The sequence below is a fragment of the Homo sapiens genome, chromosome 22 (genome assembly GCF_000001405.40).
Source record: "Homo sapiens chromosome 22, GRCh38.p14 Primary Assembly".
In the NCBI taxonomy this organism is placed as follows: domain Eukaryota; kingdom Metazoa; phylum Chordata; class Mammalia; order Primates; family Hominidae; genus Homo; species Homo sapiens.
In genome coordinates this window covers 48,782,821-48,798,045 of record NC_000022.11, presented here as the reverse complement: position 1 = coordinate 48,798,045, position 15,225 = coordinate 48,782,821, and the positions used below count along the sequence as shown (strand labels likewise).

The window sequence follows — 15,225 nt, the reverse complement described above, 5'->3', positions numbered from 1 at the left end:
ACTGGTTAAGATCCCAGAGGAGGGTGGCGCTAATTCAATGTGAGTGGTGTCCTCACACAAAGGGGACATTTGAGCACATACAGATGTACCCATACGGGAAAGGCCGCGTGAAGATGGAGACAGAGATGGGGGTGATGCTTCTACAGGCAAGGGGCCTCAGAGATCACCAGCAAACCCCAGAAGCTGGAGAGAGGCCTGGCACAGATGTCCCCTCACCGCTGCAGGAGGACCCCGCCCTGCCAACACCTCGATCTCAGAACCTGGAACTATGAGGTAATCAATTCCTGTTGTTGAAACTGTCCAGCCTGTGGTATTTTTTTATAGACACTGCTGGACCAAACTTTTCTCCAGATAACAGAGAAGTGCCCAAGTGTGTCTCATCCTGGGAGGAGCACATGGCTGTGTGAGAGTGCCGTCCTTGAAGGAACCAACCCACTGGAAGTGTAAAGCATCTGCTCCCTATGAAGCTCTCTGAACTCCTACTGCAAGGCCTCAGCACACCATGCAGGTGAGTCCGGAACACACAACCGCCCGTGCCTGCCAGGCAGCTGTGCTCCTCTTGGCTCACTGTTAAGAGTGTCCTAGAGCCAGCAGCCCCTCAGTGCCAGGGCTCGGGAACTGGGGCCAACATGAAAGAAAGAGCAACCATTAGGCCAGGTGCAGTGGCTCATGCCTGTAATCCCAGCACTTTGGGAGGCCGAGATGGATGGATCACCTGAGGTCAGGAGTTCAAGACCAGCATGGCCAACATGGCACAACCCAGTCTCTACTAAAAATACAAAAATTAGCCGGGCGTGGTGGCATGCGCCTGTAGTCCCAGCTACTCGGGAGGCTGAAGCAGGAGAATCGCTTGAACCTGGGAGGAGGAGTTTGCTGTCAGCCGAGATCGTGCCACTGCACTCTAGCCTGGGTGACAGAGTGAGACTCCAAGGAAGGGAGGGAGGGAGCAACCATTAAAATAAACAGGTAAATAAATAAAATAGATAATAAAAATAGATAAAATAAATAAGATACCTTGATGTAACGTGCAATTCCCAAGGCATGCAAACTCCATCAGCCGATTGACCTGAGCACCCCTGTCTCCTCCAAAGCTCTCATCCCATAGACGCTCAGTCCACTCCCGTCCCTGCTCCAACTCCAAGGCCCTGATCCCCTGCGCCTGGAATGCAGACCAGGTGTTTGTATTTATTTGTAAGAGCCCAGGTGATTCTGAGGCCGCTGGGCTGGGAGGCACCATTCAGAGACCCAGGTGGTTCCTGACAGTAACAACCAAGAAACGAGAAGGCCCCCGTGGAATGGGAGAGCTTCACCCTGTCTGCCGCAGGCTTGTCCCCTGTTGAGGCTTTGTTCTCAGGTGCGGTTGCATCATTCTGAGGAATGCATTTCTCTATCCAAGTATGTTTCCATGAGAGTAAGTTTCTGGGGGAGTCTTTGCAACAAATGAACAAGGCAATAGCCCTGCTCACAGCCCTCATTGCAGTGAGTGAATTCACATGGCCTTAGTTTCAGGGTCCAGATCTCATGGGAGGCTCCACTCCAGCTCCCTCCCCAGCAGGATGAATCAGCTTGAGTCACTCCCACGCAACACCCACCCTGTGTCTCTGGCATGGCCCTCTCCAGGCATGAAGAGAAGGCAGATGGACGTTCACACTCCATTGTCCAGGTGCACCGGGACGGAGGGGCTCTGGATTCCACGCAATTAGGGGGATGTGGCATATTTCTGGCATAGGCTTTTCCAACCCCCACTCAACTAAGGACAGCTCAGAGCTCTCTCCCGAGCTCCTGAGAAAAGTTTTTAATTACTTGCTTGGCGTCTCCACCTGTTGTGTCATGGTCGCTCACATCCCACAGGTGGGAGGAAAAAAAATCAGCTTCTGCTCACAAAGCAGGCCTCCTGTGTTCGGCGTTTCAACTCCTGGCCTGGTCGTGGTATCATGGCCTCAAATTCATCCACCCACAGACCCGTTCCTAAAGAAATATTTGCAGAGTTCCTGCTATTTGCAGGCACTGTTCTAGGAGCTGGGGATACCATGAACAAGAGACACACAATTCAGAAACCTGAGCTCACACATCTGTCTATGTTGAGGCAGCTTATGTCAGACTCACCGTCCTGCCAAGAACAACTGTGATAGCTTGATGAAATTTCAAAAAGAAAAAAAAACAAAACACAGCTTGAAGACATCAGAGAGCAGCCCAGGCAGCCAGGATCTGAGAAGTTAAGAGCCTGCCCAGAACCTCCCCAGAGCCAATCCAGAACCTTCCCAGAAATGGGCACAGCTTGGGAGGCAGCCCCTCCCCGACACTGGCCACTGCTTTTTCTCCTTGGGGCAGCTTCTGTCCCACCCACAAGGGCAGGAAGATGAGAGAGTGCAGCCCAAGGCCTTGCCAGAGTCTCCCTGGGCTGGGACGAGAAAGTTGGAACTCAGGGCTCTCAGGATGCCAGGGTTGGGGTTTTAAAAATGCCAGGAATACTGCTGCAGTGTTCATGCAGATGCATGTTGCTTTTTGGTAGAAGGAGGAAGGGGCAGGGGTTGAAAAGCGAACTGTTGCATACTGTGCTCAGTAAGTGTGTGACAGGATCATTCATCCCTAACCTCAGCATCACACAGTATACCCAGATAATAAACCTGCACATGTAGCCCCTGAATCTAAAATAAAAGTTGAAAATAAATAAACATAAATAAAATAAAAATCCCAGCGAAGTAAGAACTGGAGGAAGTAGGCCTGGCATTCCACACACAGCATCCCCTCAAGGGTCCTGATCTCGAACTTAGATGCACCTGGATTCAAGGCTAAGAAAGCAAACGGAGTCAACAGTGAAGGAGGCTGGAAAGTTGAGTGGCGGTGTCAGCTGCCCTGCAAGGCTAAGGAAAAGAAGACTAGAGTTCCTGCACCTTACAGAGGGGGGCCCCCGCAAACAAACCAGGCCGCTAGCAGAGCTCTGGTGAGGCTGAGCCCCAAGACTGGGCATAGGGAAGAAATGGGTCAGTCCTGCAGTTGCCTCCAAGGTATCTGCTCCTATCTGACTCCCGTGCTGGGTGGGCGTGGATTCCATCCTTTCCCAGGAAGAGGGTCCTCAAGGAAGCCTCTGAAGTCTCTCATGCAACATGTTCAACTGTCAATAAAATAATTACCAGGCATTCTCGGAGACAGGACCAAATGAGCAGAAACTACGAGCAAAACAAAAACTGACTTAGGAGTGATTCAGAGTTTGGAGTCTTTCAATATCTTAGTTAAAATAACTACTAATAATACAGACCAGAAAATAGCTGAAAAATGAAAACTTTCTGAGAGAACTGGAAATGAACCAAAATTGTCAAACGGAAACTGCAAAATTTTAAAGTGAAATAATTAAAATTAAATATTCACTCTATGGGCTTAGCAGCAGATGACGTAGAGCAGAAGAGAGAACATTGAAATGGGAGAGAAGGCAGTAGAGCCTGTCTAGATGAACACACGGCAGGTAAAAGGATAGAAAGGCAGGAAAGAATGGGGGAGATACGTGGGGTGACGGTGAATGTGTAATTGCACCCATACAAGGGCAGAGAATAACGGGCACAGAAGCAGTCTTGGAAAAAAAGAAAGGCCAGTTCATTTTTTTAGAAGTGTGGAAACTTTGGAATCAAGTTATAGATTCAAACATGTCTGCAGATTCCAAGCAAAGCAAATGTGAAAAGCTCCCCCAAGGACTGAGAAGACAAAGCAAAAAATTCTAAGAGCAGCTAGAAATGTAAAAAGTGCATGCGCACACGCACACGCACGCACACACACACGCACACACGCACATACACGCCCAGACATGCACGCACACACACGCACGCACACGCACACACGCACACGCACGCGCACACGCAGGCACGCACCCACGCACGCGCACACGCACACAAGGACACACGCGCACACACGCACATACACGCGCACACTCACGCCCACGCACACACGCACACGGACACACACGCACGCACACGCGCACACACACGCACACACACTATAAGGAATCAACAGGGAAACACAGCTTACTTTAAAAGGAAACAAAAAACGATAAAAAGATGGAAGACAGTAGAACGGTGTCTTTAGAATGCTGAGAGAAAATTGCCAACTTGGAACTCCATAGTAAAATATCTGTAATAAAAGCGAAAAAAAATTTTTGATAAAAACTGAGAAGATGGATTCACTGCAAGCAGAGGCATCCTGTAAGAAGCCATCCAGGTATTGCTAGACGCACGGTGATATGGGAGGAACACTGCACAGGGAAGTGAGAATATATGAGTCTATCTAAATAAACGTCATTTTTTTTCAAAATAATAGTAATAATGTGTAGCTGGGTTAAATTTTTGGTAAATTTAACAAGACTATCAGAAAGGGTGAAGGAAGAGAGTAAATATCGAAGAAGTGTTTTAAAATCCTTGCACTAACTTGGAAATGGTAAAAGAAATAAATGTAGACACGAAATGTAGCAAAGGTAATTTTTAATCTCTGGGGTAACTAAAAGAATACTTAAAGATGTAAAATTGAGACTGATAGGAGAGAAATAGGAAATACAATTATTAATTAATCAAAAAGAAGCCAAAAATGGGAAAAAAAGAAAAAAAATCAGAATGGACAAATAAAAAACTAGAGGAAAGACAATAAATTTGAAGAGAAATACATCAATATGTATCTTCAAAGAGACAAGGACACCCCCTCTCTGCATTCTGTTCAATGTTGCCCTGGAGCTCCCCAGCCAGGGCAGCTGTACCCCCTGTGTGTGAGTATAAATGTGTATTTTACATATGCGATTAGAAAGGATAAGTAACATTTTATTTTTTCACTATAAACATTATTATATATGTGGAATATGAAAAAGAATCTGTAGATAAACTAGAGGAACTATTAAGTAAATCTATGTTCAATGTGAATAATTCTATTACTACCTACCAGCAAAAAAATGAGAAATAATGAAAATGTTAAATGATTCTATTTACACGGGCACTGGGTGTGTACAGGATCACTGCAGGCTCAAAGCGAGTACGACAGCAGCATTTTAAGATTGGGAGGGGACACTGGGAGACACAGATGCAGACACACATGGAAGGCACTGTGTAAAGACACAGAACACATAGAGGGGAGATGACCAGAGGCAGAGGCGAAGCGATGCTCCCACCAGCCAAGGAATGCTGGGGGCCGCGAGAAGTTGGAAGAGGCAAGGAGTGTTCCCACCCTGGAGGCTTCAGAGGGTGCTTGGCCCTGCTGACAACTTGATTCAGGACATCTGCCTTCCAAAACAGAGAGAATCGATTTCTGTTGTTTTAATCCGTCGGGTGATTCATTACTGCAGCCCTAGGAAACGTCCTGTCCACCAAAGCTTTGTGCAGAGCACGCAGCCCGGCAATCGAACTCCTAGAAACAGATGCAAAAGAAATGCATGAAGTGATGACAAAAGAATTCATCCATCACGCCTGTAATCCCAGCACTTTGGGAGGCCAAGGTGGGCGGATCATGAGGTCAGGAGATCGAGACCATCCTGGCTAACACGGTGAAACCCCATTTCTACTAAAAATACAAAAAATTAGCCAGGCGAGGTGGCGGATGCCTGTAGTCCCAGCTACTCAGGAGGCTGAGGCAGGAGAATGGCGTGAACCCAGGAGGCGGAGCTTGCAGTGAGCTGAGATTGCGCCACTGCACTCCAGCCTGGGCGACAGAACGAGACTTCGTCTCAAAACAAACAAACAAACAAACAAACAAACAAACAAACAAAGAATTCATCCAGGATCATGCATAGCAGCACTGATTTCAACACAATCTCAACAGAATGAATGAAAACTTCAGTATGCCATGAAATGTTACCTTGTAAGGAACACGATTAGAGCTGTTCCTTACACACACAGATGAACTTCACATAGCGTTGAGCAGGAGACAGACATGAAAGAGAAGCTGCTTTATAATTGCACGTAAACAACATTTAGGAGGAGGCAGAACTAAACTAGGCGTTCGAGATCAGGACACTGCTGACCTACATGGGAGGTGCCATCTGGGAAGGAGGAAGACGAGCCATTGGGGGCTGGAAATGGTCACTCCCATTCAGCCGTTACATGGGTGTGTTTCCTCCCAGAAATTCATCCGGCCAGGACCTATTATCAAGGCCTAGGAATGGGTCATTCCATTGACTGCGTTATTCTTGGGTTAAATATTTTCACACAAAATAATCAGAGGCCCCAAAAGCTCCTCAAACCTACCTCACTCCACTCTCCACACGGTCCACCTCTTGTTTACGATACCTCTCAAAAATCTAACCTGCAGGTAAAATGAAAAACATCGCAAAGCTTCTAGAAAGAAACAGGAGGAAATCAAGATGGCTTTGTGCTTGGTGATGAGTTTTTAGATATGACACTGAAAACACAGACCTTGAAGGCAAAAAAGCCTTAGACTTTATTCAGATGAAACCTCTGCTCTGTGAACGATGCTGGGAGGATGCTGAAGACAAGCTGCACGCTGGGAGGAAACATTTGCAAAACACATCTCTGGTAAAGAGCTTGTACCAAAATATACAAAGAATTCTTGAAATTCAACAATAAGGGAACAACCCAGTTAAAAAGTGGGCCAAAGAACTGAAGACATGCCTCACGGAAGAATATATACAGAGGGCAAATAAGCACACAAAGGAATCCTCAGGATCAGTGGTCATTAAGATATTGCCAATTTAAACAGTAATGTGATCCCACTGCACACCTATTAGAATGGTTCACAGCTGAAACCCTGACAACACCCAATGCAGGCAAGAAGGCAGAGCCAGGCGACCTCTGGTCCATTGCTGGAGCACTAGCAAAATGGCACAGCCATTCAGGAAGAGAGCTTGACAGTTTCTTGGGAAGTTAAATATAGTCTCACCATATGATCCACCAATCACACTCCCACATATTTATCCAACTGATTTGAATACTTATGTCTACACAAAAACCTACATGCAAATATTTATAGCCATTTTATCCATAATCTCCAAAAACTGAAAGCAACCAAAATGTCATTCAAAAGGTAACTAGATAAACAAATGACGGTCCTTTCACACAACGGAACATAATTAGTGACAGAGATGAGCTACCAAGCCATGCAGAGAGAGGAAGGAATCACCAATGCTTGCACCTTGAGTGCATATTTTTCATGTGAAAAAAGTCAGTCCAAAAATGGCTACTCACACTCTGTGATAACAATATTTTCAAGCATGTGAGAAAAGGCAAAACTATAGAGATAGTAAAAAGACCAGCGGTCACCAGAGATTGGAAGGGGAGGGAGGAGGGCTGGACAATGAAACAGCAAGGACTCTTAGGGCAGTGAAACTATTCTGCATGATGCTGTCATGGGGGAGCATATGACACTGTGCATTTGTTATAACAGGTTTGGATCATAATTCCCAAAAGATGCAATCCCAAACTCCATAATCTTGAATGTTGAAATCCCAAAAGATCAAAATCTCTAAACGAAAGTTGGGAAAATTTAATAGGGAACACTCAAGTCACTGTTTATCAGGTCACAGAACAATTTCAAAAGAGGAGCAGCAATACCATATAGAAAATTAACGTAGGCCGGGCACAGTGGCTCATGCCTGTGATCTCAACACTGTGGGAGGCCGAGGCGGGTGGATCGCTTGAGCTCAGGAGTTCAAGACCAGCCTGGCCAAACATGGTGAAACCCCGTCTCTACTAAAAATACAAAAATTAGTCAGGTGTGGTGGTGGCGCCTGTAATCCCAGCTACTCGGGAGGCTGAGTCAGGAGAAGAATCGCTTGAACCCGAGAGGTGGAGGTTGCAGTGAGCCAAGATCAAGTCACTGCATTCCAACCTGGTGGACAGAATGAGACTCTGTCTCAGAATAAAAAAAAAAAAAAGAATGTGAACTTTCTTGGCAGAGAGAGTCATATCCTGAGAGGGAAAAAAAGCAGCTTTTCATTTATCATGCAAGACTCCAAAATATAGTTAATGGTCGTGAACAAGGGCCAGCTCTTATGGACACCTTCGTGCAATTGCCTGTAATCCATCCCTGTAATATACGTTTCATACGTCAAATTTTGTTTTTAGTTTTATTTTAACTTATTTAGTTTGTTTTTACTATTTTAAGTGGTCAGATTTTTTTTCTTACAATTTCCTGTGCTATGAATTTTATCATTTCCGCATCATTTCCAATACTGGAGGTGTAAATTGTGCTGAGACTTTACAGTTCTAATTATTTTATGCCTTTTTTTTTTTTGCAAATTTGACTCTACAAAAGCACATTATCATAATATTGACATTTTCTATAAGTATTGCCCACGTACGTACAAACTTTGAAACTTCCTCAGTAAATGGAGAGATGTCTTTTTTGTACATCCGCATGTATGAAAAATGAAATTTCTTGGGATCTCGGCTCTTTGGTCACCATCATGGTGACCCGTCACGGTTTTTGACAGAACTTCTCAAAATACTTAGGTTGTTCCTTGCAGTATCTCAGATGACTGCAGTTAGTGAGCTGGGTGCTAACAATTACCAGCCATTGTGGTATGTGTTTATACATTTCCCTTTTCCACCAGTTTCTTTTCTTTCCTTTTTTTTAAAGATGAGGTTTCACTCTGTCACTCAGGCTGGAGTGCAGTGGCGTGATCCTAGCTCAATGGATCCTCCTGCCTCAGCTTCCCGAGTGGCTGGATGGCAGGTGTGAGCCACCTGTCCTGTTTCCATCACAGACACAGCTCATCTTTTCTTTCTTTATTTTTGAAGGGGAGTCTTGCTCTGTCTCCCAGGCTGGAGTGCAGTGGTGCAATCTTGGCTCACTGCAAGCTCCACTTCCTGGGTTCACACCATTGTCCTGCCTCAGCCTCCCGAGTAGTTGGGACTACAGGCACCCGCCACCACGCCCGGCTAATTTTTTTGTATTTTTAGTAGAGACAGGTTTTGCCATGTTGGCCAAGCTGGTCTTGAACTCCTGACTTTGTGATCCACCCTCCTCGGCCTCCCAAAGTGCTGGAATGACAGGCATGAGCCACCATACCCGGCCAGCTCATCTTCTTATAACTGTTATGGCCATGTGTCTGTCCTTAGTTTACTGAGTGTTTATGCTTGCAAAAATACGTATGTGATTATTGCCTATTTTATTTTGTAAAGTGGCCTATAAAGGCCACTTTTTGATTCCACTTTTAAGTGGAATGGATTGTTTTAGATTCCACTTATAAGTGAGAAAATGTGGCTGGGAGTGGTGGCTCACGCCTGTAATCACAGCACTTTGGGAGGCCAAGGTGGACAGATCACAAGGACAGGAGATCAAGACCATCCTGGCTAACGTGGTGAAACCCCATCTCTACTAAAAATACAAAAAATTAGCCAGGCGTGGTGGCGGACACCTGTAGTCCCAGCTACTTGGGAGGCTGAGGCAGAAGAATGGCGTGAACCCAGGAGGCGGAGCTTGCAGTGAGCTGAGATTGCACCACTGCACTCCAGCCTGGGTGACAGAGCGAGACTCTGCCTCAAAAAAATAAAAAAATAAAAAATAAGTGAGAAAATGTGGTATTTGTCCTTCTGTGCCTGGCTTTTTTCATTTAGCCTAATGTCTTCCAGATCAATCCATGTTGTCACAAAATACAGAACACTTCTCTTTTAAGGCTTAATAGTATTCTATTTTATGTGTCTGTGTGTGTATATATATAAAATATATGTGTGTGTGTCTATATATGTGTGTCTATATATTATATGTGTGTATATATAATATGTGTGTATATATTATATATGTGTGTATGTGTGTATATATAAATATGTGTGTATATATAAAATATGTGTGTATATATATGTGTGTATATATTATATATGTGTTATATAAAATATGTGTATATGTGTATATATATGTATATATAATATATGTGTATATATAATATATGTATATATAATATATATGTGTATATATAATATATGTATATATAATATATATGTGTATATATATGTATATATGTGTATATATAATATATATATGTGTGTGTATATATGTGTGTATATATAATCTCTATGTGTATATATGTGTGTGTGTCTATATATTATATGTGTGTATATATGTGTGTATATATTATATATGTGTGTATATATGTGTGTATATATGTGTGTATGTGTGTATATATAAAATATGTGTGTATATATAATATATATGTGTGTATATATTATATATGTGTTATATATAATATATGTGTGTATATGTGTATATATATGTATATATAATATATATGTATATATAATATATGTATATATAATATATATGTGTATATATAATATATGTATATAATATATATGTGTATATATAATATATATGTGTGTATGTCTGTATATATGTGTGTATATATAAATAATCTTTATGTGTATATATATGTGTGTGTGTGTGTATATATATATATAAAACGTTTCTTAATCCATTCATTCATTGAGAAACTCTTAGGTTGACTCCATAACTTGTCTATTGTAAATAATGCTGCCAAAACAAAACATAACAACAACAAAAATAGACAAATGGGATTATATCAAACTATAAGGCTTCTGCACAGCCACAGAAACAATTAACAGTCAAAAGACAACCTGTGGATAGGGAGAAAATATTTGCAAGCTGTACATCTAAATACGGGGTTAATACCCAAAATGTATAAGGGACTCAAACAACTCAATAGCAAGAAAATAAATGAACCAATTTTAAAAACTGGCTTGGGATCCAATAGACATTTCTTAAAAGCCAACATACCAATGGCCAACACATATATGAAAACATGCTCAATATCACTAATCATTTAGGAAAAGTAACTTAAAATCACAATGAGATATCCACTCACACCTGTCAGAATGACACTATTATCAAAAGGATGAAGGACGCTGAGTGTTGGCGAGGCCATGCAGTAGAGGGGGCCCTGTACTAAACTGTAATAACTACACAGTTGGTGGGAATGTAAATTAGCACAGCTCTTATGGACGACTGTATGGAGCTTCCTCAAAAACCTAAAAATAGAACTACGGTATGATCCAGCAATCTTACTTTTAGTGTGTATCCGAAGGAGTTGAAATCAGCATGTCAAATAAATATATGCCTCTCTGAATCTCCGGCACATGCAGAACCCCAAGCCGGACCTGGGAACCTGGGCCCAGAGGATGCAGGCTCAGCCCTGCCCTCCAGGAGTTTCAGATAAAGGGAGATGGGGCACATTCAGGGACATCCCACCACAGGGTGGACCCCACAGAGGGCTGCCCAGAGGGGCCAGGGCTGGGGAGCCTGGGAGCGGGAAACCCACAGGGTCCCTGGTCTCACTCAGTGGTGCCCAGAACAACTGAAACCCCATGACTACCCAGGCCACCTGCCCTTGCATGTAAGCCTTGCTGAGTGACCAGCCAGAAAAGCCACAGGTGGAAAGGACCTTGCCAGCCCCAAGGCTGTGAGTCTGGAGGAAACTCAAATCCCTTGTCCGTAGTGAGGCAGGAGCAGGTGCTGCTTCAGGGACAGGGCTTAGGACCTGTGGTCAGTGAGCCCCTCCTCCCTCCTGGGACCTTGCTCTCAACCAGCCAGACCCCTGGGGCCTCAGCCTGGCTCACAAGTGGCGGCTCCTGCACCCCCATCCCCTGCCTGGCTCACTGTCCCCTCCTTGCCAGTGGGCTGCTGTTTTTGAGCCTTTGCCTGGGAGAGACTTCCTTCCAGAGGCCTCCCTCCCTCATCTGCTAGGCGGCCCTGCCCTCCCTGCAGACCAGCCCTCACTATAACTGTGTCCCCCCAGAGGGTGGCTCTGTGAGGATAGGACAGGCGCTGAGTGGACGTCACATGGTGACCCAGACACAGGGATCCCTCAGCAGACAGCAGAGAGGAAAGAAGGCTGGGCTGAGCCCCATCTCTCGGGAACATCTCAGGGAGGGCACACGCTGGGTGCTGATAAGCTCCAAAAAGGCTCACGGTGGCTCCAGCACCCAGCCTGGGACATGGGGTCGCAGATGGCAGGGCAGGTGTGGGGTAAGCGGGGAGCTGTTTGGGATTCCCTGGAACTGAGTTGAGGCTCCCTTGGGTCTGTGATGTTTGCAGCAGGAGAGTGACATCCCCGAGAAGGAGAGAGGTTGGCCCTCGGGTGTGTGGTGAAGGGGCCTGAAGAATGTAGCAAACGCTGTCAGCCCCACCCCATGACACCCCCATTTTGTTTACACTTTCAGGGGATCCTTGGCCTGTCTGTTTGTACTGCTACAATAAAATATCACAGACCGGGTAATTTTTATTTATTTATTTATTTTTATTTTATTCATTTTTTTGAGGCAGAGTCTTGCTCTGTTGCTGAGGCTGGAGTGCAGTGGCGCAACCTCCGCCTCCTGGGTTCAAGCGATTCTTCTGCCTCAGCCTCCCGAGCAGCTGAGATTACAGGTGCCCACCACCACGCCGGGCTAATTTTTGTATTTTTAGTAGAGACGGGGTTTCGCCATGTTGGCCAGGCTGGTCTCCAACTCCTGACTTCAGGTGATCCACCCGCCTCGGCCTCCCAAAGTGCTGGGATTCCAGGTGTGAGCCACCGCGCCCAGCCAATTTTTAATAAACAGAAATGTATTAGGTCACGAAAGCCCCACCTCACAGGACTGCCACATTGGGGGTCGGGTTTCCAACTCAGGCTTTTGCGGGGACTCCTTCAAACCACCGCAGCCCCCAAAGGCCCTTCATGCTCCTGCTGTCCATGCTCCAGGGTGAGAAGTTGGGGAGCAGAGTGAGAAGGGAAAGGAACCCAGGACTAAATCCCGGGGGCGGGGGGTCATGGGCACCGTCGCCATTAGCTCGGCCACACTCAGCCTTAACGGAACCCACAGCCCGCACGGCTGACACAACGGCCCTGAGTCTGCACAGCCCTGGAGGCTGGGAGTCCGAGAGTAAGGTGTCGGCAGGGCTGGTGCCTGGGGAGGCCTCTTCCTGGAGGGCATGTGGCCACCTTCTCACGGTGTCTTCACACAGCAGAGACGGAGCCCTCTGTGGCCTCTTCTCATGAGGCCACCAGTCCTGTGGGATCAGGCCCTCCCTCCTACAACCTCATTTAACCCTAATCACCTCCTCACAGGCCCCATCTCCAAATACGGTCACACTGGGGGCTAGGGCTTCAACCTATGAATTTGGGCCACATAATTCAGTCCATAGCAGGCTGCAGAGGGCAGGAGGGGGCTGCAGATGTCCGCTGAGGAGGGTCCTCCTGCAGACCACCCAGGGGGAAGTTTGGGGAGAGTTCAGGGGGTCAAGGGGACCATCAGCCCTGTATTGGGAGGGACCTGGGAGCTAAGCTGTATGGCCACCCCACGTCCCATATCTTCCCAGCACAAAATGTGCCCTGCCGAGTTGATTTGCTCAGCTCACTCTTTATTTTGAAACGACGTCAAGCATGAAGAAGAGTTGCACAAATAATGCCAATAACTCCGGTGCCGCCTTCATGGGGGTTATGGTGGTTCCAGTGCACTCCACATGTCCCCCCTCTCTCTGTCCCTCTCTCTCGTGTACACACACACTGTTTCCTGATCCAAGAGTGAACCACCCTTAAATTCTTCCCAGTGTGAAGATAAAAATTTCCAAAAATCAGGAAATCCTGTCTCTTAACCAAGGCACAGTTAGCACCTTGGGACGTCCCACATGGCCCCGGGCTCTCTTCTGACCTGTGGTCCATGGTGGAGCCACGCCACGCCCCAAAGGAGGCCAGGAAGACGATGCCATGGCCCGACTGGGACCCAGGCCCTGGGCTGCTGTCCCTTCCTGGCTGTTATCTGCTTGATTATTTGCGATTTCTAGATATTTTCACAACATCAAAAAATTGTATTAATCATTTACATTCCCCACCCCATCTTTTCCAAAAATCCAGGCCACAGACGGGCCACCCTCATGGTCACGGCCTGGAGGCCCCTTGCAGATGCAGAGTTCCAGGCCCCCGCAGGCTCAGGGAACGGGAGGTTCTGGGGTCAGGGCCCCCGGCTCGGTGTTTTATGAGACTTCCTGTTGATTCTCCAGCGCAGGGAATTTTGAGAACCACCGGCTTCGCCTGCACTTTGGTCTGAAGCTTGATGTTGGTTTAACCAGGGTGTTGTGAACTGTGCTCATGACCGATGTCCCTGGAAGTATCTTAATGGAGCTAGCAGGGCCTGACTTGTACCTGGAACCTTCAAGTTCCCTTATCTGGAGCAAGGTCCACAAGCCGGCCACGCCCCAGCCCCAGGACGGCCCAAGGGCTCAGCAAGACGGCCGCTGTCAGTTCCAGAGAGACTTGTCCTCTGGGTCCCCTCTGTTTCAAACCTTTCATCCTTGGACACTTGGCGAGTTTTATGAACAGACAGTGCATTTCATTGCCGGGATTATTATTTTTTTAATTTTGAAATTAAGAATCCAAGATTCCTCTACATATTTTATGAAAAGCTCTGTCTTCCATTTAATGAGCTCTGTGTGACTAATCAGAAAATAAAACGTATAAAGTAGAATGATTTAGCCTGTAAAATGAGAAATGAAGAAAAAGAGTAGCACATTAAACTTAGATGGGCTAGGTTTTCCTGGAGTTGACCTTGGAGATGGTTTGGGGCGAGGGAAGCTTTGGGGAGGGCAAAAGGTGGCCGGCCAGGAGCAGTGGGGCATGTCCAGAGGTGGACACCTGGAAGGCGTGGTCCTGCTGGCCGGGAGCTGGCCAGTACCCGCAGCCCTGCAGCCTCCAAGAGTGGGGCAGGAGGTGACAGGCCATAGGCACCTTGGGGGTTTCACTTATGGGTCCATCCCGTTGTCAAATGTGCACAGCTGTCCCACCCAGGAGGGAATTCCAGGGATGGGCAGAGTCTCCGTGCTTCCACCCCAAAAGTGTGCCCTCTAGTGGAAGAGAGTGGGTGGAGACATATTCGAAAGAGTCGACCAAGCTGTTGGCCACCGTATTTGTTGATGGTTGGCTTAGCTTTAAAGGCTCCGGCGCTGAGCTCCCAGCTGTTCAGGTTGCAGTCTTTAATTATTTGATCTGGAGCAGAGTTCCCTTTTGAAATGCAAATTTCCTGGAGCTGAGATCTTGCCGAGCCGCCATCCTGCATCCTGAGGACTGTGTACCCCAGAGGGAGGCCTGTCTGAGAGCGCAGAGGAAGTGGGGAACCCAGAGGCCGGAGGCATCCTGGCCACAGCCCTGGGCTGGAGCCTCTCTCTTCCTCCCACCCCTGCCCTCTGTTCTCAGTGCCTGGCATTTTAAATGGCTGCATAACTGTGAAGACTGTATTTACATAAATGGCCAAT

The 15,225-nt window shown here is 46.5% G+C and overlaps 1 annotated feature.

The window, feature by feature from the left end:
• Nucleotides 1,062-1,983: an enhancer, noted in NCBI's record as "H3K27ac hESC enhancer chr22:49191875-49192796 (GRCh37/hg19 assembly coordinates)". NCBI's record gives its function as "activates a minimal SCP1, AML or CMV promoter by ChIP-STARR-seq in primed H9 embryonic stem cells {active_cell/tissue: H9 hESC(primed)}" and the evidence as "EXISTENCE:reporter gene assay evidence [ECO:0000049][PMID:30033119]".